This window comes from Homo sapiens, chromosome 10, assembly GCF_000001405.40.
Source record: "Homo sapiens chromosome 10, GRCh38.p14 Primary Assembly".
Taxonomy (NCBI): Eukaryota; Metazoa; Chordata; class Mammalia; order Primates; family Hominidae; genus Homo; species Homo sapiens.
Genome location: NC_000010.11, coordinates 126,957,010 through 126,984,276, shown reverse-complemented (window position 1 = coordinate 126,984,276; position 27,267 = coordinate 126,957,010). Strand labels below are relative to the sequence as shown.

Genomic DNA, 27,267 nt, shown 5'->3' with positions numbered 1-27,267 from the left:
AGTGGGGATGATTCTCATTAGTTACTTGGCTGCCTAACTGAATGAGGGGTCAAGAGACAAATCAGGGCTGGTGGTCCCGATGTGAGCATCACCCACAGAGACAGATCAGCTGAAGAGGGAAACGCAACAGAGGCCATGTCAATCAGGGAGGGGCAACAAAGAAATAGGAGAAGGCTAGGACAGCACCCTCAGAGTAGCGGACACAGGACAGAGGAGACGGTGACATGCCTGAGCAGTAGGTCAGCATAATAAGAAGAGGATAAGAGCATCGGCGTTAAGAGGGGCTTTCAGTGAAGCAAGGACCAACGTGTCCAAGGCTGCAGTGGAGCTCCAGAGGCAGAGGATGAGAAGACACTGTGAGGTCCAGACATAAGGAGGCATTGCTAACCATGTCAGTACTGGGAAAAGCATGGAGGACAAAATGGGAATTGCTTTGGTTATGGGGGAATAGGTACAGAATCAGTGGTAACAGGCATAGAGTAATCATTTGGGATGTCTGAGAATGAATGAAGTCAGCGTCCAGAGAGAAGAGAGACAAAGCAAAAGAGATCCTTCACGAGAGTCAATGCAAGCAAGATACTGTGAGAGAGATCACATGAGAGAGAGCCTTGCAAGAGAAAGACAGAGCCTGTAAAAGAAAGACAGAGCCTGCAAGAGAAAGACAGAGCCTGCAAGAGACAGATCATGCAAGAGAGAGCTCATGCAAGAAAGAGAGGCTTACAAGGCAGCCTGCAAGACAGAGGCCATATGAGAACGATCATGCAAGAGACCAGCAAGAGACAGATCCTGAAAGAGACAGACTCTGCAAGAGAGACAGGACAATAAACTTGGAGAGCAAGAAGGCAGGCAGAGGTGGGATGAAAGCGTGGCCCACATTGGCACTAGAAAGGGGAAAGGACCAGGAGAAGAAGGGAAGGTGGAAGTCTACAACAACCTGGAGGAAAAGAAGAGGGATGAGATCACCTGTCAAGCCTGAAGGCCGGGGTTCTTCAGGGAAGGAGCTGTTGGGCAGCTAGGCTTGAGTGGCCGTGGCAAGGGAGACAGATAGAGCCAGGAAAACAGTGTGGAGAACAATCACAGGGAACCCAAAGCAAAGGCAGGGAAATTGTTTCTAAACTGTTCATTTCACCATAGCTCTATGCATTTGCCCACAGTGGGGCACCTTGGACCAGAAGGCCCAGGAACAGGAACCAAATGTGTCTCTGTCTGCCTGTCTGGTTAGGTGTGACTCTACTTATTGAGACTCAGAATAACCTGTTGTTCACTTTATTATCATGCTTCATAATTACATTTTACATATATTCTTTTGTATACATCAAAGTGCTTTTTAAATAATCATACACAGTCTGCCCTGTATAAGGATTCTAATGCAGATATAAAGTACACTAAATGCACACTTGATCCAGTTACTTCCACAGAGTAAAAGTCTCAACTTTCTTTTTCTTCCCTTTAAAACTTTGCATACAAAACACTTTATCTGTCTAAAAAGTACCATATTGCAGGTCATCATCATTCATGCCTCTAAATTATTTTCTTCATTTTAAGTATGCATCATGGAACTATGGAACCCGAACGGTTCTTTTCATATGTTAAAAGTACAGTGCTTGGAAAGGCAATTTTGTAATCAGCCAAAGAGATGTCATTATGCAGTAATCATATGATTAGTAATTTTATAATTTACATATTTAACTGAGTGTGAAGATGTAGCAGAGACAAAAAAAGAAAACATTTTAATGTTCCTTCTTCCAAGTTCACACCTGGTTATTCATCTGCCATTCCTGCCTAATGGGTTCCTGTTCTAGAAATGTCCTTTTAATGATCTTATACATCAGTTTTATGACCTCTAGGAAACATACATCACAATTAGACAAAATGTAAACTCCTGCATGTCCCAATTTAACAACTGTTGCTTCACCCTAAACTCCATTTATATCACAGCCTGCAATGTCTTCCCAAAAAAAAGGGGACTCAGAGCTGGGGGGCTTTGGAGTCTCTGCCAAATGAAGTCAGTAGCTCACAGAGGAAGCACAGAGCACCAGGGCGAATGCTTTCCAATAGTGACCCCAGGTTCAAGGACAGTAACTGCCAAGTATGGTGCTGACTTCAGACTCCATAAAGGATAAAAGCCATGTTAAACACAACTCTGAATCACAAGTCCCCTTTCTCTCCCCAAAACTCCTGTCCCCCAGGAGTCAATCACACCCATTGTCTTGACCCTCTCATATTACGCCATCGTACAAAAGAGCAGCAAGGCCAAATATAGTACTTGCAATTCTTCATTTAAACATCAAGACCAGACTCACCCTTTTCCTTCAACTATCGCTTCTTTAAGATGAATATATGAAGCAGGAAATATACCCTTTGGGAGGAAAAAAAAAACAGTAGCTTTTATTATCAATAGGATTGCTGAATGTAAATCAAACAATAGTTCCCAAAAAGGTGGGGTGAGGGGTGGCTAGATCGCTCTTAATTTTTTAAGTCTTAACATATCAAAGAAAACACAAAGAAGTAGAAAAGACGGCAACTCATTTGGCTTGTATTGCAGTCTGCCGATGTCTTAGAAGCAAACAGGCAACACACTTGCAAAGGAAAAAGTCCACAAAGATACAGGCAATTTGCAGGCTGCTCCATAGATCACACCTTTTTGGCCTCAATGCAGGCAGAACAAAGGCCAACTGATGTCTCAAAAGCAATTTTTGATGATGGTCTCCTCTTTCAAAATGATGAAAGTTGGTTTACACCACCAATTGTCCCTTGTGCACTGACCACGTACCCAGACCCACAGAGACTTTCTCAGAGACTTCCCCAACAGGGGGGCCCTCTGGTAAAATACAGAAAGACAGGCCGAATTTCGCCCAATCTGCACAACACCTGGGGGTACACCCTAGCTTCCGCTGATAAGCTGGTCGGCCTCCCTCAAGTGCAATGCACATGTGAGCCCAAGAGAATGAAGCCTGGGGAGAGTTTCTCAACAGGACATTCAGCCTCAGGCACATTCTGTGAAGTGCCAGAAAGAGCTTTATCAAGAGTTTGGGTCCGAGGCCAGGCACGATGTAATCCCAGCACTTTGGGAGGCTCAGGTGTGTGGATCACCTGAGGTCAGGAGTTCAAGACCAGCCTGGCCAACATGGTGAAACCCCATCTCTACTAAAAATACAAAAATTAGCCGGGTGTGGTGGCGGGCACCTGTAGTCCCAGCTACTCAGGAGGCTGAGGCAGGAGAATCGCTTGAACCCGGGAAGTGGAGGTTGCAGTGAGCAGAGATCCCGCCACTGCGCTCCAGCCTGGGCGACAGAGCGAGACTCCGCCTCAGGAAAAAAAAAAAAAAAAACGTAGGGTCCTGCTTTCTGAGCAAGCAAAATAACTCCCTTACTGGAATAAAGCAAAGGTAAGAAAAGAGGCAACGGGGTTGGGGTCTTGGGCAGTGCAACGCAGCCCAGCTACCGCTTCCTGCATGAGATTTAGTGCATGCAGCAGAAATTGATAAAGTGGCACCCCTGTGGCTTCAAGGCACCTGTTGTGGGAATGGAAGCTTCTGCATGGGTTTCCCCGGCATTCAGCCCTGAATGATGCAGAAAACAAGCTACTAATCAAGTTTGGGAAGGGCAGGGGGTGGGCAGGGGGCAGGCAGGGGGCTGAACTGGTCTAGCAGGCACCAATGATTCATGTTGCTTCTGCCAACAAGGAAAGTGGCCAAATTCCATATAAAGAAGAATTATCACAGAGAGGGAAGGCGTCAGGCAGAGAGTCAGAGGCTGAGCAACAAACAAGGCTGGGCCAGGCTCAGAGGTGCACACCTGCAACCGGCACTTCGGGAAGCCAAGGTGAGAGGATCACTTCAGCCTAGGAGCCTAGGAGCTCACCAACAGCCAGGGCAAGATGGTGAGACCCTTTCACTGCCGAAATTTTTTTTACAAATTAGTTAGGCATGGTGGTGTGCACCTGTAGTCCCAGCTACTTGGGAGGCTGAGGGAGGAGAATACCTTGAGCCCAGGAAGTCGCGGTGGCAGTGATCTATGATCGTGCCACCGCACTCAGTCTGAGCCACAAAGTGAGACCCTGTCTCCAAAAAAATAAAACATTAACTTAAAAAAAACAGAAGTCTGAAGGGACCCAACGCTGGGTTGCTGTGTTCAGGTCCTGGTTATCCGGGACACCTCCAAATCCCAGGTACACCCTCCTGGGTTTCTTTCCATGATAGCAATAGGTGTCCACCCAGATGGGGGAGAAAAACAAAAAACCAGTCCCAGTCTTGTCCATGTCCACAGGTGGAGACAACCCTCAATCTCAGCAAACCCACTGGAGAATCATGAAGCCACAGGAAGGATAATGACTGAGTGAGGCTGGACACACCTGCAGGTTTGAAATGCGCAACTTCCGCTGGGCCTGCTCAGCACCACCCCAATCAACTGCACACTTATAACTACAGGAAAGTTGTTTACAGACACGTGGTGCCAGGATTCCTAGGGCCCACATCCCTTTTCTGCTACTGCCTAGGAGGCCCCTTACAAATTTATAATCTCTGTAAAGCTTGGATTTATTCATCTACCAGTGGAGATCTTAGATGGAAAAATAGCTATGCCCTACCCAGCGCTACTGTGTTGATGAGTTATGAATGAGTTATGATGTCTAGGTGCCCAGGTGTAGTGCAGAAATACTGTGGTTTCAGGAGGCATTGTGGGAATGGAAGAGATCTCAAATTGGGGAAGGTGATAACAAATACCAAGTAAGATTCAAAGAAAAAGGAACAGCTTGCCTGGGGCACATCCAGCCCAGGATGTGGCAGTTGTGTCCTATGTAGGAATGTGATGGGGGAGGGGCATATTAGTCCATGATCTTAATCTCTTATTACTAAAGGTTTCAACTGCAGCTTTCCTAAATTCAGAGCTTCATCTGCAGATACACACTATTTTTTTAGGGATAGATCTCACTCATTATGACCAGCAGAGGCTGGTCTCAATCTCCTGAGCTCAAGCAATCCTCCCACTTCAGTCTCTCAAGTAGCTGGGCCTACAGGTGCATATCTTTGGGCCTGGCTGGAATTCACTCTTGATTGGGGAAGGGAAAACCAATGTGAAAATAGAACTTTCCTTGGAGAAATCTATTCCACCATCCACTGGATTGAAATCGATCTTGTGCAAACTTCAAGGCTATAGGTCACTGATGTGTAGAGACCTGTAGCCCAGTCTGAGGTTGGCAAGGTGGAGGTAAGAGGTCCTGGTCCCAATTTGCAGATCTGGCTCACTGATTTCCTAACACTGTCTCTCACATTAGACATGACTGTGCCAGAGGATGGCTGCCATAGGGACCACCCTGGATCCTTCCCAAGTGCTGGTGTTGCGAGAGGATGACCCATTCTGACCTGCTCAGCAAAGCCTGGGTTAGGGGCTCTGGGGAAGGCAGAGTGGAAGGACCCTGGCACTTGGGCCACTAGACTTTGGAGGACTTATTACAGGCTCAGGACCACAATCCAGAGTCCAGCCCAATAAGGAGATAATGAGAGGTAAATTTAGGACACAAAAGTAAAATGAACCATCCGTCAAACATAATTAGATATTAAAACACATCGGGTCAAACATAATTAGATATTAAAACATATTGGGTAACGTGGACAGCCCAACCACAGCTTAGAATAGAGGTTACTTCAAAATCTTAACATCGTAGAATGAAACAGAAGAGCCATAATTAGGTTCCATGAAGCTAAGAATGTTAAAGCCACAACAGAATTGTGTATGGGAGTGCCCACCACAATGATCCGAGGTGTAATTACATGTCTTAGTTTCAGAAATTCAAACAACCACTCATGCAAACTGCTCTAGGAGAGCAGAACTCCTTTTTTCACAGCTTGACTTAGGCAGAGTAAAAACAGTTATATGCAAGAGGGAAACAGCATGCATGAGCTTGCAAATTTGCTAATCTATTATTAAGGACAACATAAGATTGACAACTGTGAGAAATAATTTTTTTCCTGAAGTCGCTTTACTCGGATCATTCTCTGACACACACAGACCTAAAAAGGACACAAAATTCATGAACAGAAGACAACAGGCCAACACTATATCACAAACTAGCAATTCACTCACGGAGATGAAGCTACAATTTCTATGTACACATATTGTTCAGAAGAAAACAATCCAAGCTCGTTCACATTCCTACCCATATATTTTTTTAAATTCAGAGAAAGAGATATAGAAGTAAAACCCTCAGACACAAATGAGATGGAATTGATTTCCTCTCAAGGTGTGATTTATGAAGAGACATGCACTGTGTTTAAGAAGAAGGACTTACCTTCTTAGACTTTTTTCGTAACGTGTAACCTCGGTACCACCCTAAACAAACACAAAGTTGAAACAGTTAGTACAAAGAGACATGTTAGGGTCCTCACAATACATTCATGATGTGTAGAACTCACTGTTTGGCAGAACCAGTGAGGTCAGTTTGTCACCAGCATTTTTCAGTGAACCTAAGGCTTTGGAGATATACTACGTGGTTTCCCAGAGAGCATTTCAACAGCGCACCCGGAGCCCAGCTGGCAACCTTCACACATGGGCCTCCATACCTTCACCTCCGTCATCTCATGTGGTTCGGAAGCAGCAGTTTGAAGTTCAGATGCACAGTTCCAAGAGCAGGACTTGTCCTTTCAACCACTGGCCCTGAGTAGGCTCCTTGTGTATGCATTTTCTTCACTCTCCCTCTGCCTGATTTAGACCAAGATCTCTCCAAGGGCACATGTCAGCATCTCGCTGCCCCAAAACAGAAAACCCATTGAGAGAGAACTTCCTCCCACTTCAAGACAGGGCACTTTTTCCTGGAGCAGCCACGACCTCACAAAGTACTTCTGTAGCAACAATACAGCCCTCAACCCACAGGAAGCTCCAGGGCCAAGCACAGGACACACCTGCCCTTTGGGTTTGGCCCAGGCTCCACTTCTCGCTCCTTCCAAGTGGCGAGAGAAAGAAAATAGTGAGAGCAGAAAGAAAGACACACTCGAACCATCCGCATGCCATGGATGCCACACAGAAGAGTCCCTTCAACAAGGGACCAGACCCAGCCACACCCCTGGCACCCCTCTCAGGCTGAGGACAGGAACTGCCCCTGCAAAGGCCTAGGGGTCTACCGTCAGTATCCAGCCTCCAAGCACCCCACCATTTGTGAGTTCAGATGGATGATTTTTTACTCCCAAACATTCTGAAGTCACTCCAGGCCATCTAGTTTCTGGAAAGCTAATCAAAAGCTCAAAGAGGCCAGGCACAGTGGCTCACGCCTATAATCCTGGCATTTTGGGAGGCCAAGGCAGGTGGATCACTTGAGGTCAGGAGTTCAAGACCAGCCTGGCCAACATGGTGAAAGCCCATCTCTAATAAAAAATACAAAAATTAGCCAAGCATGGTGGTAAGCCCCTATGATCACAGCTACTCAGGAGGCTGAGGCAGGAGAATTGCTTAAACCCGAGAGGCAGAGGTTGCAGTGAGCTAAGATCATGCCACTGCACTCCAGCCTGGATGAGAGAGCAAGACTCTATCTCAAAAAAAAAAAGCTTAAAGACAAATCCCAACTCTGCCCCATAGGAACAAAGGACCCTGTCAGAGAGTGACAGAGGGCACTTGGAAAACGTGAGCTGGGTAAATTCCCAGAGAATAACCAAATACTGGGTTTCTTTACACTATTAAAAAGGCAAACCTCAGAACCAAAGATCAGACAGATGTGAAAACGGGCCATTGTCACAGCAACTGGCCTCCACCTCTCTCAAAAGGTGAAAATTTTCACAACCAGGGATGAAAAGGATGATTGTGAACCAGAAAGTGATGGTGTTAAGATGAGCAGAATCCCCAAGGGATGACTAACCAGCTGTTTTCTGCATATCCAGAAAAGAGGACAGAAACTGCCAGGACTCTGGCAAAGGTTTTGCTAAGACCCAGTTATGATGAACTGAACTCATTTCACTCTCTTGACTGGAGACTCAACAGACTGATTGGGGGAACCTCAGATACAAAATGCCTAGACTTCAGCCACACATTTGAAGGATTATCTCCTGATAGCCATATTGTCAAGTTCAGTGGTTTTGATAAGCTGGCCCAGTATCAGCGCCCATCTATGACACAGTGCTCATATATCAAAGCCCATCTATGACACAGTGCTCATATATCAAAAAGGAAAAAGAAAGGTCAGTTGAATGAGTTATGCAAAGCTGTGTACTCAGTTTCAACAACTGTCCTTTATCCTATTATAGTCTTCCTGCATTTTCAACATTAATATGTCCTTTCTTTTCTGAAACTGACAAAGATTAACGTCTTAGAATACATAAGGAAATAATACAGAGACACAAAAAGACAGCAACTAAGTATAGTAAGAAAATGAGGCCAAGAGTGGTGGCTTACTCCTGTCATCCTGGTATTTTGGGCAGCCGAAGAGGGCAGATAACTTGAGGTCTGGAGTTCCAAGACTAGCCTGGCCAACATGGCAAAACCCCGTCTCTACTAAAAAAAAAAAAATTGGCTGGGCGTGGTGGCGTGCACCTGTAATACCAGGTACTCGGGAAGCTGAGAATCACCTGAACCAGGGAGGCAGAGGTTGCAGTGAGCTGAGATCATGCCACTGCACTCCAGCCTGGGCAATAGAGCAAGACTCCATCTCAAAAAAAAAAAAAAGAAAAGAAAGAAAATGAGCAAAGTTTATAAACTATGTATAGAAGAAACCCATAAGACCTCAACATGTATGAAGAGATGCTTCAGTTTAATAATAGTCAGAGAAATGAAAAGTACACAGTTAAGAGTGGTAGAAGGCAGAACACTGCAGGATGCAGGAAGCCCCTGGTCACCGTGGGTGGCAGTGTCCACTGCGGCAACCAGCCTGGGAGAAGCAGGCCCTGCTTATCCAAAGTCTACATCTCCACACCCAAGACCCAGCAACCCCCTCCTGGGAACGCAGCCCAAAGACATCTGTGTGCCCTGCAGAGTGAGATGGACATGGGATGCTCAGGGCAGCTTGATCTTGGGTGGTGGGAAGCGGGGACAACCTAAGTGCTCATACCCGGGGAGGCAGGCAGTTAGTAAAACATGAAATGTGCACACGATGCAGTTAGAGCCATGGACTAAAGGGACACAGAGAACACAGTGCATTTTAAATGGAGCACGAGGGAAAATAAAAAACAGAACAAGACTATAATGACACACTTACATCTGTTAAAAACAGATGCACACCAAACAGCACGAGAACACAGGCAAACGAGAGGCCACTTCACACACAGTAGAAAGGTTTTCTATGGGAGGCAGGAGGAGGAAGGGCCAAGCAGTAGGCATGAAAGGCAAGGAGTTTTGTGTCTTTATTTAATGTTCATAGGCAGTCGATTCCTCTTCTAATGGCCTTCCTAAGCAAAATGAAAACCATGGTTTTCCTCCCCACGATTTTTGGCATGCACTATTTCTTCAACAAAGTGAGCCCGCACACCATGTACCAGAGACCACACTGGGTGCCACAAATACAGAAAGAGATTAGACCCAATCTCTGTCCTCCATGAGCTCAGAAACTGGAAGTGCCCTAAGACAAGTAGGGGTCACACCACAAACCCTGCTGCATGACAGAGTTCGGCATGAAGGAGAGAGGATGTCCCGGCAGAGGTTTTGCACCGGAGAGTAAGAGAACAGAACGGAACGATTACCTGGCTGCTCTGGGGCACAGCAAAGAGGGGATGAGGCTGGAAGGAGAAAGATTCACAGCTGTTACAGAATTAACTTCTCCCTGGCACGGCTTGCAAGTGGCCTCCACGTAGTCAACCAACCTGCTCCAAAAAAAGAGACATCCACCCAGGGAACAGGCAAATACAGGCAAGACACAGGTCCCAAACTCGGGGAGGACACAGTCCAGCACAGGAAAATGGCGGTCTAGTCATTTTAGAAGAAAATGCATCACTATCCCTTTTAAAGAGTTGAATAAATTAAGTTTGAATGTGGCTGAATCAAAAGGACAATTTCCTCAACTTTGGGCAATGCCTGCAGCTTGCCTCTGGTGCAGCATCTCACCCTGGGGACGCTATGGAAGCCCTGGGGACCCTATGGAAACGAGTCGACAGCAGGATTGGCACGCCCTTGACCAGACAAGAGTCACTCAATCAACACTGGGGCCTGGCCTCACCTCTCCTATCTGGAGGTAGGACATTGTTTAAAGGCAGGGGTCTGCACGAATGAGCTCTCAAAGCTCTTTCCACTTCCACCATGAGCTAGAAAGCTCATTTTCTTTGTTCTATGCTGTAAGCCTTCGTGAGCTCAAGAAAGAGAAATTAACCACAACTTGAAGGTAAATTTAGTCTTTGAACCCTAAAATAAAGATTTATCATCTAGAAATTATAGCCTCTGGAGCAAGCTCTGTAATATCCTGGAAAGGATCATAGAAAAAAAGAAAATCAAACTTGCTAAACCAAAAAGTCATCTTAGAGGAAAAGGAGAGCCAAGGAAAGAAAAAGAAAATGCCAGACTCTAATACAAGCCATGAAATTTAGATAAAACAAGAGGAAGATATTGGAAAACAAATGGAAGTACATTATTCTCTTTTTATTTAATGACAAAAAGTCACCACACTCCCCAAAGTCAAAACTATTAATACTTCTCCAAATGCATTTCTCTGATTAGATTCAGATTAAAACCAAAAAGTTAGTTGTCAAGGAACGGAAATTCATTTTATGCTAAAGAGTCTTTACAAAGACTGAAATATTTTCATCAGAATCTAGAAAGAATGACTAGCCCAGAAAATTAATGTTCACTGTAGATCTCTTATCATGATGTCAGCCAAAAAGTCAAATGCCTGCAATCAGATATTTTTGAAGTTACACGTATTACAAGGACCACTGACATGCCCGAGGAGTCCACTGTTTAAAAAACACATTCCTCAGCTGGGCATGGTGGTGGGCACCTGCAATCCCAGGTACTCAGGATGCTGAGGCAGGAGAATCCCTTGAACCCAGGAGGCAGAGGTTGCAGTGAGCTGAAATTGCACCACCATACTCCAGCCCGGGCGACAGAGCGAGCCTCCATCTCAAAAAAAAAAAAACCACCACCACACACGCATTCCTCTTATGAAGCAAAGAACAAAAATGCAGTCTCCACAGGCCCAGGGGCCACAGGAAATCATTAACTATTCAGGAATGACATCATTGCCCAGTGTTTATTAACCAGGATTTCAACTTCAACTGACCGGCAGCAAAAGTAAAACAAGATACAAGAGCATTTCCCTTCAAATCAGAAAAGTGTCTGAGATGAGCGGTTTGATCCTTAACCTCTACTTAATTTCTCTCTGTCTCCTCTCAGACACATGCAGTATATACTGAGAGGAGATAAGGGAACACAGCTGTCAGCTGTAAACACGGAAAACAAGCAGAAGACCCCATCACAACTACTCATCCGCTTAAGGACTGGGGCTGGTTTTTGCAGAGCTGCACTGGCTTCCACGCAGAGGCCACTAAAGTCGATTTTTTTTTTCAGACAGGACTTTTTTAGGGAAGGTACAGCATGCATCAGATGGGGAAATAAGGGCCATGAACATGGATCTGTTAGTAGGTCTGTGTTTCTCAGAGGAGTCTACCAGGAGCTGGTCACAGTTTGCCTCGAGCAGGAAGCTGGGCATACTTCATTCCTTGTAAAGTGGATTTCAAGTTGGAAGTTCAATTTGCTGATTACTACGGGATGTCTTCAATTTCCCCTCTCACCCCCAACCTCCCATGTGGAAGGGTTTTGCTAAAAAACCTCTGTGAAAAAGCAGTTTTTCTACTGAAATTATCCTTTTTATTCATATGCTATATGGGAACCACCCTTTCAAGCAGGAAATTAAGCCGACAACAATAAGAAAACACAATCTCACCAAAACCTCCAGATCTGAACAGTCTTTAAAAAATCAAGCCCATCATTTCTTCCCTTCTGTGCAACAATAACCACAGCATAAAATGAAATATGGCATGCTCAAATTATTTGCAAACACAAAATATAAAAACAAATTGTCTGAAAAGCCAAGGACATTGGAAAACCACTGTCACCAATAGTTTATTTATTGGATAATTATAACAATTGCTTCAGGACGGGCACGGTGGCTCATGCCTGTAATCCTAGCACTTTGGGAGGCCGAGGCGGGCAAATCACCTGAGGTTGGGAGTTCAAGACCAGCCTGACCAACAAGGAGAAACCCCGTCACTACTAAAAATACAAAATTAGGTGGGTACAGTGACACATGCCTGTAATCCCAGCTACTCAGGAGGCTGAGGCAGGAGAATCGCTTGAACCTGGGAGGCAGAGGCTGTGGTGGGCCAAAATCGCGCCATTGCACTCCAGCCTGGGCAACAAGAGCAAAACTCCGTCTCAAAAAAAACAAAAAAAAATATTGCTTCATTGGACGGCATCCCATATAACTATGATAAATCTCTGTTCATCCCAAGAAAATGGGGATTACAGGTTTAAAAAAAAAGGAAAGGATGAAAATTGGGGTTCCTCTGAGACATATACTGCTAACAAATCTAAGTGAGGACATTAAAAGAAGAAATCTTAGTTCACATCAAACACATCAAAACAATGAAGCAGGCTAGGCACAGTGGCTCACGCCTGTAATTCCAGCATTCTGAGAGGCTGAGGCAGGCAAATCACTTGAGCTCAGGAGTTCAGGACCAGCCTGGGCAACATGGTGAAATCCTGTCTCTACAAAAAATATAAATAATTAGCTGAGTGTGGCAGCATGCACCTGTAGTCCCAGCTACTTGGGAGCCTGAGGTGGCAAGACTGCTTGAGCCCAAGATGGGGAGGCTGCCTGCGGTGAGCTCTGATTGTGCCACTGCACTCCAACCTGCACGATGGAGCAAGACCCTGTCTCAAAACAACGAAGTAAACTATCTTAAACCTATTTTTTATCAAGTGGTCAACTGTTAACAATCAAGATTTATACACACTTGGCCAGGCAGAGTGGACCACACCTGTAATCCCAGTACTTTGGGAGGCTGAGGTGGGCAGATCATTTGAGGTCAGGAGTTCGAGACCAGCCTGACCAACAGGGTGAAATGCAGTCTCTACTAAAAATACAAAAAAATTTGCCAGGCATGGTGGCGGGCACCTGTAATCCCAGCTACTCGGGAGGCTAAAGCATGAGAGTCACTTGTACCTGGGAGGCAGAGGTTGCAGTGAGCTGAGATTACACCACCTCACTCCAGCCTGTGCGACAGAGCAAGACTCTGTCTCAAAAGGAAAAAAAAAAAAAAGATTTACACATGCTTGAAAATAAGGAGCCAAGGAGTTTAAAAATGGGAATTTCAGTTTTAAGTTCACCTTCAGAAAGTATTAAACAACAGCCTCACTACTACCCTTACCTGAAACAGTATCCATCTGCAAGAAAAGGGAGCCTGAGAAGGAAGCATGACTGTCTTATGTGTCTGTAACAGAGGAATGCTTTGCCCAGCAGGCACTGAGAAGGTGTGCCATCTGCCCAAAATGTAAGAGAAAAGATACCAAGATGCATACGCACCTTCATATGTTTCTAAGATGTGCACAGTGTCTCCGATCTGTAAAGAAAGTTCATCCGCTCCTCTGGCATCATAGTTATAAAAAGCTGTGATGAAAAAAGGGGAAATATATTAGTAATAGTAAAGATAGAAGTGACCATGCTGAGTCGTGTTGGCTTGTTTTAATGTTGTTGTTTTTAATATTGAAATACATTCAGTCGCTGCCTGCATCATCCTCTCTGATACCCACAGAAGTGACCTTTTCTTTCAGACAAATATAAAGGGTCAATAGTTTAAGGAGGAGAAATTCATAACTACCCATGACACCAGATGACCATAAGTGACATAAGAAGACATTGTTAACAGTATTTTGATTGACACTTCAATACTATCTTTTATTTCCACTAATAGATTTTTATCTGCCTATGAATCAATTGCACATGGAGTGAATATTCTTTGGAAACCAAATTAATAAAAAAATTATCATATAGCAATGTTGATATTAAGCCAATAGATTTTACAATCACAGTAGACAAAAATATGTCCTGTGTTAGAAGAAATCCTTAAAACTGACAATGATAAGCAAGAAATGTCTGAAATCCCATGTTTATCCTGACATAAAGCTGCTCCTATTTTGCAAAAGGATCATAGTGCTCCTACATAAGCCCCTAAAAAGTCACACCATTAAATTCCAACCACACTTTTGCTCATGCATTATGGAATAAAGGCAGCAGTCACAGGTGTAAAAAGGATGCTACAAAGTGTTTAAGGCCCAAAAAGTATTCAACTAGCCCACTCTCAATTTAAAAAAATATATATTAATGTTCCTCCTACCCAACAGCCTCTACCTAATAGGATATAGCATTCAATATAAAACTCATCTTCAAAATCGCGGATCAAAGCTCTCATCCATCCATCCTGCACAGCCCAGCCAGGCGAGGCTATGCACAAAAGGCACCTGCATTGTGGCACACCTCTAAAATTCTCTAAAATTAAACCATGTCATGTGCAAACTCCTCTGGCAAGCACGGGCCACCGTACCTTCCCACCACACACTCCCTTCCCTGGGCCCTTGCTTCTACTGAAGGAAAGAAGCCAGTCCAGCCCACATCTTTGGGTACCAACTTCTCCCTCGCCAGCTGGGCCTTCCCACTGGGTGCACCTCATCACGAAAGCCAGACCCAAGTCTGTGTTTGATCTTTTAACTCCGCTCCTCCAAACAGCCCTGGCACCACGCAAAGCTTCCCATCTCTTGTTCTGCATGAGCCAGTCTTATTTCAGATGTGTGTGTTAAGACATCCCCAACTAAAGAAAAGCCACCAGAGGGCAGAGCCACCCACCTTTCAACATTTCCTGCCCACACCTCCAAGGACAGGAAGGTGCTTAGCCGTACAAGGAATGGCCTCCATAAACCTGAGCTGCCTGAGCTGCACCTCAGGCTGTAAAGTCCAGAATTTCAGGCGCACGCAGCCTCCTGGTGTTCACGTTCATGGTCTCTACAGACAGCTAAAGTGGGTAGGGCAGCACCCCTCCCCGAGCCCCTGGGTGCCTGCCCTCTGGCAAACGATCTGCTCTATCTTCAGGTTTTCAATGGCCAAAATAAGGACCGGATACTGACCTCGTAGAATTGCGTGTGTGTTTTGTGTCTTAGAGAAAATGATGCCCCTGTTGGATCTGGCACAATGGGGTCCATGGTGAACACTCAGGTAACGGTGAAGGCCTTCCTTTTGGTTGTATTTTTTTTACTGCTATCAAGATGTCTACCGCTACCTGAATTCTTTTTAGAAAGCCAAAGCAAGCACATTGCCACATGTGCACAAAAATTCTGTAATATCAAAAGCTAGACCTATGATATTGAAAATTCTATTTCCTCAGGTATCTTCCTATATTTTCCCCAAAATTCATAAAATGTAAGTGTCCTCAACTGACAAAGATGGTTATTAGTTAGTTATTAAGTTTATTTGGCATTTTACAGTGAATCTTTAACAAGAAATAACTGCATCAGGTGAAGGAAGCCCAGGGCAGAGGCTGGACTTCCCCAGCTCAGCATGACCGTATTCGTAAACCTTCAGGAACCATAAATACATCTATCACAGTTCCTAACAGCATCCCTGCCAGCACACCTATTCTGTTCTAGACGTGGGAAAAATAAACACGTCAAAAATCATAGAAATGAAATAAAATGAGCACATCAAGGGTAAATACATTCAAGCACCTGTGAATTTGTAAAGCACATACACATAATTCCTTTCTTCCTGTTTCACCTCTAAATACCCTACTCCCCAATCCCTAAAGCAGACAGTGGAAAGCAGTGATTGAAATCTCATACATGGATATGGAAACTTCACATTTAACTGTGAAATGAGCCAGACAACCCATGATTTTGTAGGTAAGAAAAAAAAGAGCCTCAGGGGTTATGCACATGGCCCCAAATCATGCAACCCAGTCAAGATCACAACCCCAGATGCCCAGCCCCTAGCCCTTTGTTCATTTTAGGACTAATGATTAAATAATCCCATATATGAAGACAAATTAAAAGCCAGCCTTGCAAGGGTATTTGACAAGGGAGTAGGAGAGAGGAGCGGAAGGATGCAGATAGAGTAACAGCCCTCCAAAGACGACTCCAAAAGCTTTCACGGCCACAGGGGCACTGCGAGGGTGATGAAATTCAGCATCTTGGCCGGGTGTGGCAGCTCATGCCTGTAATCTCAACACTTTGGGGGGATTACTTTTGGGAGGCTGAGGCAGGCAGATCACTTGAGGCCAGGAGTTCGAGACCAGCCTAGCTATCAAGGCAAAACCCCGTCTCTACTAAAATTACAAGAAAAATAGCCGGGCGTGGTGGTGCGCACCTGTAATCCCAGCTACTCGGGAGGCTGAGGCAAGAGAATCGCTTGAACCCAGGAGGCAGAGGTTGCAATGAGCCGTGATCGCACCACTGCACTCCAGCCTGGGCAACAGAGCGAGACTCCGTCTCAAAAACAAAAAGAAAAAATTAGGATCTTGAGATGAGCGTTAATCCTGGATCAATCCAGGTGGGCCCAATGTAATCACAAAGGTCCTTATAAGAGGAAGACGGGAGGGTCAGAGTCAGAAGCAGAGGAGGTCAAAGAGATGCAAGAAAGAGGCAAAACAAGCCGAGGAACACAGTGGCCTCTGGAAGCTGGAAGCGGTGAGGAAGCGCAGACTCCCCCACAGCCCCGTGGGAGCATGGGCCACTGACACCTACACTTTAGGACGCTGAATCTCGTATCTTAGCCCGAGTTTGTGGCAATTCGTCACAGCAGCAATAGGAAATTAGTACAAGGAGGTGTGTGAAAAGCAATTTGAAAGTGGTACTTTGTGGTTCACTGATTGACTCTGGAACTGGGGTCTCCACTGCAGGCACCTAAACCCAGACAAGTCCAGGGCTGTGGTTCCCAATTCTTGAGTGACATGAGAAAAACAAGAACCATGTAGGGAATTTTTTTAAATGAATCCAAAAGTATGTAATGTGAGAGGCTATCCTTTATTCTGATTATTTGGCCTTTCACAGTTGCCCCTTCTTAGGGGTTGAGGGCAACGACTTCTTGTCTCCTTTAAGAAGGATGAGGATGACAAATGGCATCTAAGATGTTGTCACCTGACATATGACGTACTACAAAGATGGTGGCCTTTTTGCTGATCGCTCAGTTTTGCTTCAATTTTCTGATCTGTTAGGGTCTGGGAACAACTCCATAGAGAACAAGCTCATGGCGTCCCATTCACATCCTGGCAAGGGTAGCACCAGCCTCCCTCTGGGTGGTGGGCTGAATGCCTACTACATTCTCCCTGGTCGAGTCCATCTTCATTTTATAATGGCCTGGCTGCCAATGAGCATCTTCAGGTCCACATGAATTTCTCAACCCTGGACAGCAGACTCCAGCGTAGAAGCTAGACACATTGTGTGAGATGTTAAGTGGGAAAAGAGACAGAGATAAACCAAGCGCCAAGTTCTTTGCTTGGATGATGTTTTGGTTTTTTGTTTTTTTCTTTTTCTAGGAGAGTGTGAAACAGCCTACAGTGAGTGGATCTTTTCCCTAAAATAAAAAATTAACAGGCTGCACTCATGCCTCATGCAGCTGTGCCTTATCAGAGACCTAAAAAGGTATTGCGATCACCTCTGTTCAGTCTCCTGATTGTCTATAAAAAAGCTGCCCAGGAAAATGCAAACCAAACCACAATGAGGTATTATCTCACCCCAGTTAGGATAGTTAGTATCAAGAAGACAAAAAAATAACAAATGCCAGTGAGGTGCAGAGATAAGAGAACTGTTAGACACTCGGTGGGAATATGCCATTATAGACAACAATATGAAGGTTCCTTAAAAAAACTACAAATAAAACCACCACATGACCCAGCAATCCCGCCACTGGGCATTTATCCAAAGGAAAGGAAATCAGTGTATCAGAGACACATCTGCAACCCCAAGGTTCTTGCAGCACTATTCATAATACCCAAGATACGCAGTCAACCTAGGTGTCCCACACAGATGAATAAAGAAAATCAACATAGGCGTCCAACAACAAATGAAGGGATACAAAAAAATGTGGTATATATACATAATGGAATACAATTCAGCCATTTAAAAAAAATAGAATCTTGTCATTCCCAACAACATGGATGGAATTGGAGGACATTAAGTGAAATATGATAGGAACAGAAAGTTAAACACCACATGTTCTCACTCATAGGTGGAAGCTAAAAAAACTGAGCTTATAGAAGTAAAAAGGAGAACAGAGGATACTAGAGCCTAAGAAGGGTAGGGGGGAAGTGGGGACAGGAGAAATTTGCTAAAGGATACGAAATTACAGCTAGATAGGAGAATTAAGTTCTAGTGATCTATAGCTCCTTAGGATGACTATAGTTAACCATAATATACCATACAGTTTTAAATGGCTGGAAGGAAGATACTGAAATGATAAACATTTGAGATGAGAGACATGCTAATTACCCTAATCTGATCACCATACTTCATATGTACCACATGAAGGTGTACCCCATAAATACATACAATTATTATATCATCTCAACTGATGCAGAGAAAACATTTAATGAAATGTAACACCCATTCAGGGAAAAGCAAAAAAAACAACTTGACTACTCTCACTTGAGAAAAAACATAGTAAGCCCATCAGCCCACTTCACAGATGAAAACAGAGGTCTACAGGGGCGTTGTGACTGGCTCAAGGTACACAGTGAGCTGATGGCAGCCCTGGGATCCTGGGACTTCCCTCCCAGGATATCTCACCACTCCACACTGCCTGGCCCAAGACTTCATCACCCCTCGGTGAGATGTACAGACTGTCTTCCCTTCTCTCCATCACCAGTTACCTTCCTGAACTCTCACTCCAAAGTCTGGGACCATTTCGCCGAGCATTCTGAATGATGGCTCATTTCTCCAGCACACAACCCATCTTTCCATCTCATCTCAGCCCCCTCACCCTCCTCGGCTCCACCTGCCCTGCCAGGCCTGCCACACGCTCCTCTGCAGCTGAAAATCCTTCCTCCCTCCGCCTCCGACTGCCCCACTTGTCTACAAGGCCTGCCTTTAATTCCACAGCCTTTTCCAGGCCCTAACAGAATTATTTCTCCCCCTACCAAGAAGAAGTTACACGCAGACCTAAATGAATGGCTTCCTTCTGAACTCCCTGTACACTCTGTGCCACCCCACAACCTTGTAGAGTTGCTCATCTGTAAGTCTGTCTCTCCCATCAGACACAAACTCCTTGAGGGAGGTAAATATTTATTAATCATTGGATTTCCCACAGTAGCTAAAACCATACCTTGCAGGCACTCAATAAAAATGCACTGAATTTAACCAGATCCCAAAGTACTCTTCCTCATGCAGTCTGAAAGAGGAAAAGCAAAAGCTGTAGCATTTGTTCGTCTTCAAAATGCTCTTGCCCTCTGCAAAAAGATACAGAGGCTGAGACTTAATCAGTAAGAAAGAGAAACACAATATTAGCTTTGCCAGCTCTGCTGTGGGTCTTTTTGATCTAAGGAGATAGCCCACCTGCCATCAGTGCTCAGGTCCATAGCCTCCCCAAAGCATCAAAGGCCAGGGGTGGCCATACGTTACTCCTTGAAATCAACTCGGCTCAGTCACTCTCTGTCTCACACACCACTGAAACATGATTTCAAGACTTCAAGTAGCAACTTAAACGTTAATTAATTCTTTTAAAGTCAATTTGTGAAAATTAATTGCTCTGTGTTCTCATTTCCTTTCTCTTGCCTTCAGTTGGAAACGCTTTTCAATGGTATGCATCTTCTCAGGGCTGGGGAAAACAAAGGCCACGTCCTCACACGGCCCAATGCCAGGGCCCTCCCTGTCTGTGCTCCTACAGGGTTTCACCCTAGGGCCATCCGCCTGGTCTCGAACTTCACACACCCTACACGTTTGCCTGGTCCATGCAGGTACCTTGCATTTCCTAAGCCTCCATAGGCCCCTGCGCTGGTCCACACTGAGCTGGGCTTGGAGAGAGGAGATAAGCCAGATGTAACCCCAGAGAGGAAATCAGCCTAAGCTAGGTCTCCAAGGAACAACCTTTCACTGAGCCATTCAGGAAACACCATGTAGAGAGAAACAGAACATTATACACACCCTTTCAACTTGACCCTGGGGCAGAGACCAGCCGTTTATAGCAACTTGGTGAAGATGGAGAACAAGTCAACTGTATTGTTGCAAACGGCTCAGTACCCAACATTACCCACTGTACTACTAGCGAGAATGTGATCCCAGTAGCCACAAATAAAAGGATAAATTCATCAGGCAGCTTTAGATGGCACCCACTTGGAGCTGGAGGCTGGGTTTCCTAAACTCTATCTTCAAAATCAAACTGGCAGCCACGCCATCACCAAGCTTCTACGACCTGTAGTAAAATCCTTCCACTGCTTTTGTCTGGGGGCAAATGCCTTAGGCTGGATTAGAGCCTCCTAGAGAGATGAGCCTGAATGGTAGCACTTACTGTATCACACTGCCACCATTTAATCACCTGTGCCTCTTCCACTTGACTGTGAGCCTCTCAAGGACAAAATCTGCATCTTATTTTTCGCAATCATCTAAAAACACCTGGCACACAGCAGGCCTTGGAAGGAAGGAAGGGAGGAAGGGAGGGAGGAAGGAAGGAAGGAAGGAAGGAAGGAAGGAGGGAAGGGAAGGGAAGGGAAGGGAAGGGAAGGGAAGGGAAGGGAAGGGAAGGGAAGGGAGGGAAGGAGAGGGAGAGGAGGGAAGCGAAAGGACGGAAGTGAAGGGAGGGAAGAGAGGGAAGGAAGTTTCTTAGAGCCTGGTTATAATGGTGTTATTAAAAGTATTGTCTCTAATATTTTTTTAAAGATGAACTGAATAAAAGCAATAACATACTTGGGAATAATCTTAAGGAGGTACAGACTTGTAAACTAAAACTAACGAAATGTTGCTGAGAGAAATAAAAGACATGAACAAACTGAAAAATATTTGTGTTCATGGAGTGGGAGACTTAATATTGTTAAGATGTCAATGCTGATCCGAAACGATCTACAGATTCAGTGCAACTCCTATCAAAATCCCAATGACACTTTCCACAGAAATAGAAAAACCCATCTCAAAGGTCCCAGATTAGCCAAAACAATCTTGAAAAACAAAAACAAAATTGGAGGCCCGATTTCAATACCTACTACAAAGCTACAGTAATCAAAACAGTGTAGTACTGTCATAAAGACAAATATACAGACAAATGGGATAGAACAGAGAACTCAAAAGTAAACCCTCACATAGAAAGTCAAATGATTTCAACAAGGATGCCAAGACTATTCAATGGGGAGAGGACAGTCTTTTCCACAAATGGTGCTGGGAAAACTGGATATCCACTTGCAAAAAAAAATGAAGTTGGATTATTATATCATTCACAAAAATTAACTCAAAATGGATGAAAGACCTAAACATAAGAGCTAAAACTATAAAATTCTTAGAAGAAAACACAGAGGAACAACTTCATGACACTGGATTTGGCAATGATTTACTGGATATTATATCAAAAGTACAGGCAACAAAAGAAAAGATAGCTAAGTTAGACTTCGTCAAAATTAAAAACTCTTGTGCATTAAAGAATATTATTAACAGAGAGAAAAGGCAACCTACAGAAGGGGAGAAAGTATTTACAAATCCCCTATCTGTTAAGGGAATGGTATCCAGAATATATAAAGAATTCCTGGGGGCTGGGCGCCATGGTTCATGCCTGTAATCCCAGCACTTTGGGAGGCTGAGGCAGGTGGATCACTTGAGGTCAGGAGTTAGAGACCAGCCTGGCCAACATGGTGAAATCCCAACTCTACTAAAAAAAATGCCAAAACTGGCCGGGTGCAGTGGTTCATACCTGTAATCCCAGCACTTTGGGAGGCCAAGGTGGGTGGATCACCTGAGGTCAGGAGTTAGAGATCAGCCTGACCAACATGGAGAAACCCCATTTCTACTAAAAATGCAAAATTAGTCGGGCATGGCGGCACGCGCCTGGAGTTCCAGCTACTTGGGAGGCTGAAGCAGGAGAATTGTTCGAACCGGGGAGGCGGAGGTTGCAGTGAGCCAAGATTGTGCCACTACACTCCAGCCTGGGCAACAAGAGCGAAACTCCATCTCAAAAAAAAAAAAAGAGTCGGGCATGGTGGTACATGCCTGTAGTCCCAGCTACTTGGGAGACTGAGGCAGGGGAATGGATTGAATCCGGGAGGCGGAGGTTGCAGTGAGCCGAGAGCGCACCACTGCACCCCAGCCTGGGTGACAGAGTGAGACCCTGTCTCAAAAAAATAAAAAAAGCAAAAACCAAAACAGAAAATAACAACCTTGGTAAGGACACGAAGAAACTGGAACTCTGCAAGTTACTGGTGGGCTCCAAAATGGTGTAGCTGCTGTGGAAAGCAGCAAATTACCATGAGATCCAGCAATTCCACTTCTGGATACCTACCCAAGAGAACCAGAAGCAAGGTCTGGAATAGATATTTGCACATCCATGTTCACAGCAGCATTATTCACAACAGCCAAAAAGTGGAACTAACCCAAGTTTCCATCAACAGGTAAATTACTCAACAACATGTTACACATACATACAGTGGAATATCCATCGGCCTTAAAAGAAAGGACATGTTGACACATTACAACACGGGTGAACCTTGAAGACACTGAAGATATTATGCTGCATGAAATAAGCCAGTCACAGACAAATACAGTACGATTCCACTTACATGAGGTTCCTCTTCCTCGAGTTGTCAAACTCAGAGACAAGTAAGAAACGAAAGTAAGAAAGGGGGTTGCCAGAGGCTGGGAGGACGAAGGAGTGAGTTAGTGTTTAATGGGTGCTGAGTTTCACTGGGGAAGACAGAGTTGTATTTTTAGTAGAGACAGCGCTTCTCTATGTTGGCCAGGCTGGTCTCCAACTCCTGACCTCAAGTGATCCGCCCGCCTCAGCCTCCCAAAGTGCTGGGATTACAGGTGTGAGCCACCGCGCCTGGCCCCACCCCACATTTCTAAAAAGGACACCACTTTCAAAGTCACCAAGTCACTCCTTTTGGGTTCATATCTTTCTTAGGAACAGAAAGATTGTGGCTCTGCCAGTAGAATCCCCTGAGGCAGTATTTCATGCAATGTTTGGGTAACAGAATCAAGGAGTCATCTACCTAATTAAGGAAACAGAGCTAGCTGGGCCTGGTGAGACAGAGGAACCATCATTTGTTATTCAATATTTCTTTTTGGCTTTTGGTTGGAAACAGGTGGGAGGGATGGTGAAGATAAGAATGTGAAAAGAAATATACAAAAGAGCCTTTCCTCACATTCTAACTGAACTGATAGACACAGTAAAAGACATTTTAATATCTTTCTTCGGAATAAAATATCTCTGTATGCCTTATCCACAACTAGCAGCAACTATCTTATTTCTTTTTTTTTTTCTATTGGGTTCATATCTACATGTATATATCTATACGTATAGATATACACACGTATATATCTATGTGTGTGTGTGTGTGTGTATATACACATATATACGTATATATGTGTCTGTGTGTGTGTGTGTGTATATATATATATATATATATATTTGAGGGTAGGTCTGTTTATAATTCACAAATAAAGCCAGCAATCATCCAATCATCCCAGAAGAGGCTTTGTCATTATGCAAATATAAACAGATGAGTTCTTGCCAAACCAAACCAGAGTCCCCATGCGCCCTCCAACTTCAGGCCTTGGTCCACAGCCCTACCTCTCCCCAGCTTGGCTCTCCAGGTCCCCATCACCTCTGGATGAAACCCTTCCCTGCCACTCCCCCACGACAGTCAGAGGCCTCATGTGAGCGCTCAACAGCAGCCTTGCACATCCCGACAATATACCGCCAGGCGACTGCTCACTGCTGTCCGTGCCTGTCACATAGCAGGTGCCCAATAAAGGCTTCTCAAGTGCAGCCACCACTGAGGACCCCTCCTCTAGCCTCCTGTGCCATGCCCCCACTACAATACCACATGGCTGGTGACCCCTTGACCTCTCTGTACCTCACACCTGCATCTTCTCCATCTCAGCAGCCATGCCTAACAGTGCCTGGCACCTGGAGTGCCACAAATGCTCACTGAGTGAATCACTTAATAAATAAATAGAGGAAGTCAAGGCAGTAAAACTATTACCTGAATGTTAAACCCACTGGAAACCACTGCGGCTTTGCTTGTACTTACTTCAAGCAAATAAATGCGGTGGCTCGTGCCTGTAAGCCCCAAGCGGGCGGATCACCTGAGGTCAGGAGTTCGAGACCAGCCTGACCAACATGGTGAAACCCCATCTCTACTACAAATACAAATTAGCCGGGCATGGTGGCGCATGCCTGTAATCCCAGCTATTCTGGAAGCTGAGGCAGGAGAAACCCGGGAGGCGGGGGTTGCAGTGAGCCGAGATTGCACCATTGCACTCCAGTCTGGGCAACAAGAGCAAAACTCCGACTCAAAAAAAAAAGAAAGAAACTAAAGAGCAGACCAGGATCTTGACTAGCAAAGACAACTTCCAACAGTCTAACCAGGTAGGCATGTCCTGGAGATCCAACCCCTATGTCCAGAAACAAAGCACACTCTATTTCACTTGAACAAATGGTGCTAACGATCCTCCCCAGGGCAGCTATACACACCCTCAAGGAGCTGTAAGCAGCAGCAAAGACTGAGGAGGTCACGCTGGCTCTGATCCAGGGCCCACCTGGGGAAGATGCAGCCTGGCACGTCAGAGGGTCTCCCCTTCCATGTGTGGGCTAAACTCTGATTTTTTTTATCTAGTCCAAATTCGTGTCTAAGGGGTCTGGGAAGTCATGCCCCACAAATCATAAATTCTCATCAGATGGGTTTTATATAACCCTATATATCGTGATTTACTTTCCAACCTGACTCTGGCATAACATTATGAGACAAAGAAGAAAATCAAAATATTTTACCCCAAAACATGTTTCTTTGCCATATTTTAAAATGGCCCTGCAAAGCTGTTTTGTGGGGGAAAACTTGTATCTGTAAAGAATCTCTATTAACATAGCTAGATCTTTTTATTCCAGACCCTAAAAAGATTAAGATCTGAATAGGAAACATTTGTCACCTATTGTCTCTAAGGGCACCCACTGTAAGACTTCAAAAGAACATTGGTCTCCACAATCTTTATCTTAACTTGAACTTTCCCTTTCTATCTATCCCAGTTCTTTAGACAAACTCAACCAATTGTCAACCAGAAAATGTTTAAATTCACCTACAGCCTGGAAGCCCCTGCTTTGGAATGTCCCGCCTTTCTGGACCAAACCAATGTATTTCTTCATGTATTTGATTGATGTCTCATGCGTCTCTAAAATGTATAAAATCAAGCTGCACCCCGACCGCCTGGGGCACATGTTCTCAGGACCTCCTGAGGGCTGTGTCACGGGCCATGGTCACTCATATTTGGCTCAGAATAAATCTCTTCAAATATTTCACAGAGTTCGACTCTTTTTGACACAAAAACACTCAGCAGTGACCCTCCCCTGAACACATCTGAGCGGAGTGAAACAGCAAGAACTAAGCAGCGCCTCCCTCAGAATGAAGAAGATTCCTCATAGGTCCCCAACCCACTAGAATCAGGAAGGTGTCATAGAGCCCTGTGGCACATATTCTAGTATACTAATACCCAGGTGCCCAAAGGACTCAGCCTTCTAGAGAAAACCTACCTGCTTTACCTAACAGAGCCCTGACCCCACCAACGGCTCCAGAATACCCAGCCTCCGGTCCTGTAAATCAAGACATCATCACCTCTCGATCACCTTCTGTACAGATGTGGGAATACCCATTGTGCCAAAATGCCAAAACAGAGTCCCTGCTCTGGTCTCCATGAGCTGTGACTTCCCTGTCAACCTACCCTCTGTATGGCTGGCTTCTGAAGCCCCAACAAACCCTGTGAGTTTAAAATTACGGAGCCAAAGCAGCAACATTCCTGCGTATTACACAAAGACCGTGGACCATGACATCCAATATCTCTAACTACAGAAAAAAGTTCAACACCATGAGCCATGTAACAAATGGGCATATATACAGACATAAATATGCTCACATCCATCTACATGTATACACTCACATGTATGTTAGTGGTATAATAAAACACACAGTCTTTAGGTGATCAGCTCAGTGACTTTTATATAATTCTATACGCCGTGTACACCCAAGATAGGAAGAGATCCAGAAAGTACCCTCAAGCCCCTCTCTAGGAGATTTTTCTCCCAAAACACCATTTTCTAATTTTTATTACCATAGATAAGTCATAAATAACGGTCAATGCTTAAACTTCAAATACACGGAATCCTATGTGCTCCTTTATGTCTGACTTCTTCTGCTCAACATTTTGAGCCACATGAATGGTGTTGTATCAGTAGTTTGTTATTTTCTATTGTTGAATAGTATTCCATCATATCAACACATCACAATGTGTCTATCCATTCTCCTGTTGATGGACATTTGAGTTATTTGTTTCCAGGTTTGAGTTATTATAAATAAGGCTGCAGTCAGGCACAGTGGCTCACACCTGTAAAACCAGCACTTTGGAAAGCTGAAGTGGGAGAATCACTTGAGCCCATGAGATCGAAACCAGCCTGAGCAACATGGGAAGACTCCGTATCTACAACGAAATATATTAGCTAGGCATGATGGTGGGCACCTGCAGTCCCAGCTACTTGGGAGGCTGAGGCAGGATCACTTGAGCCCAGGAGTTGAGGGCTGCAGTGAGCTATGACCGTGCCACTGCAGTCAAGCCTGGGTGACAGAGTGATACTCTGGCTCTGAAAAAAATAAAAACGAAGATAAATAAATAAATAAGGCTGGATTGAACATTCCAGCGTGAACTGTTTTGTGAATCTGTTTTTGGCCCATGGAATTTCCACTTTGATGGGAGGCGTTTGCACTTTTGGAGAAGTTGCACATGCCAAAGGCATCTTCAGGTGAGCCAGCAGCCCAGTGCCGTCCCCAAGCCTGAAGGGTGACACCTCTGTCCATACTGCAACCAGGAGGGAGAAGACAGGGAAAGGCAGCCACGCCAGGGACTCGCCAAAAAATATTTGGTTTCTTTGTAGTTGCTTGAAATTCCTCCTCTGTCGTTGTTACATTATTTAGCTTTGATAAAAAAGTAAAATTGAAGATTAAAAACCAATCGAGCCCTCTGTGAGGAAAACAATAAAGCCTAGTGCCTGTTGGCACAGGCTGCTGGAGAGGACCCCCTTGCAGAGACCCCTTCCCCGCTTTCCCCCGTCGGGTGCAGCCTGTGCCCAGGGAGAGCC

At 44.8% G+C, this 27,267-nt stretch overlaps 1 protein-coding gene across 24 annotated transcripts in view; it reads right to left on the bottom strand.

Moving 5' to 3' along the window:
• DOCK1 (dedicator of cytokinesis 1) overlaps nt 1–27,267 on the bottom strand; it is a 547,089-nt gene that overhangs the window by 468,240 nt on the left and 51,582 nt on the right. For 21 of the 24 annotated variants that reach the window (XR_007061946.1, NM_001290223.2, NM_001377546.1 and 18 more), the window contains exons 2-4: nt 13,492–13,575; nt 6,289–6,329; nt 2,304–2,359 (exon numbers count right to left, since the gene is read on the bottom strand). Coding sequence is in view for 23 of the 24 variants with exons in the window: in NM_001290223.2 (NP_001277152.2) it covers nt 2,304–2,359; nt 6,289–6,329; nt 13,492–13,575 (181 nt within the window). In the remaining variant the exon portion in view is untranslated. Of the gene's footprint in view, nt 1–2,303; nt 2,360–6,288; nt 6,330–9,658; nt 9,695–13,491; nt 13,576–27,267 lie in introns of all 24 variants that reach the window. The other 3 variants (NM_001377544.1, NM_001377548.1, NM_001377560.1) reach the window with 3 other exon arrangements.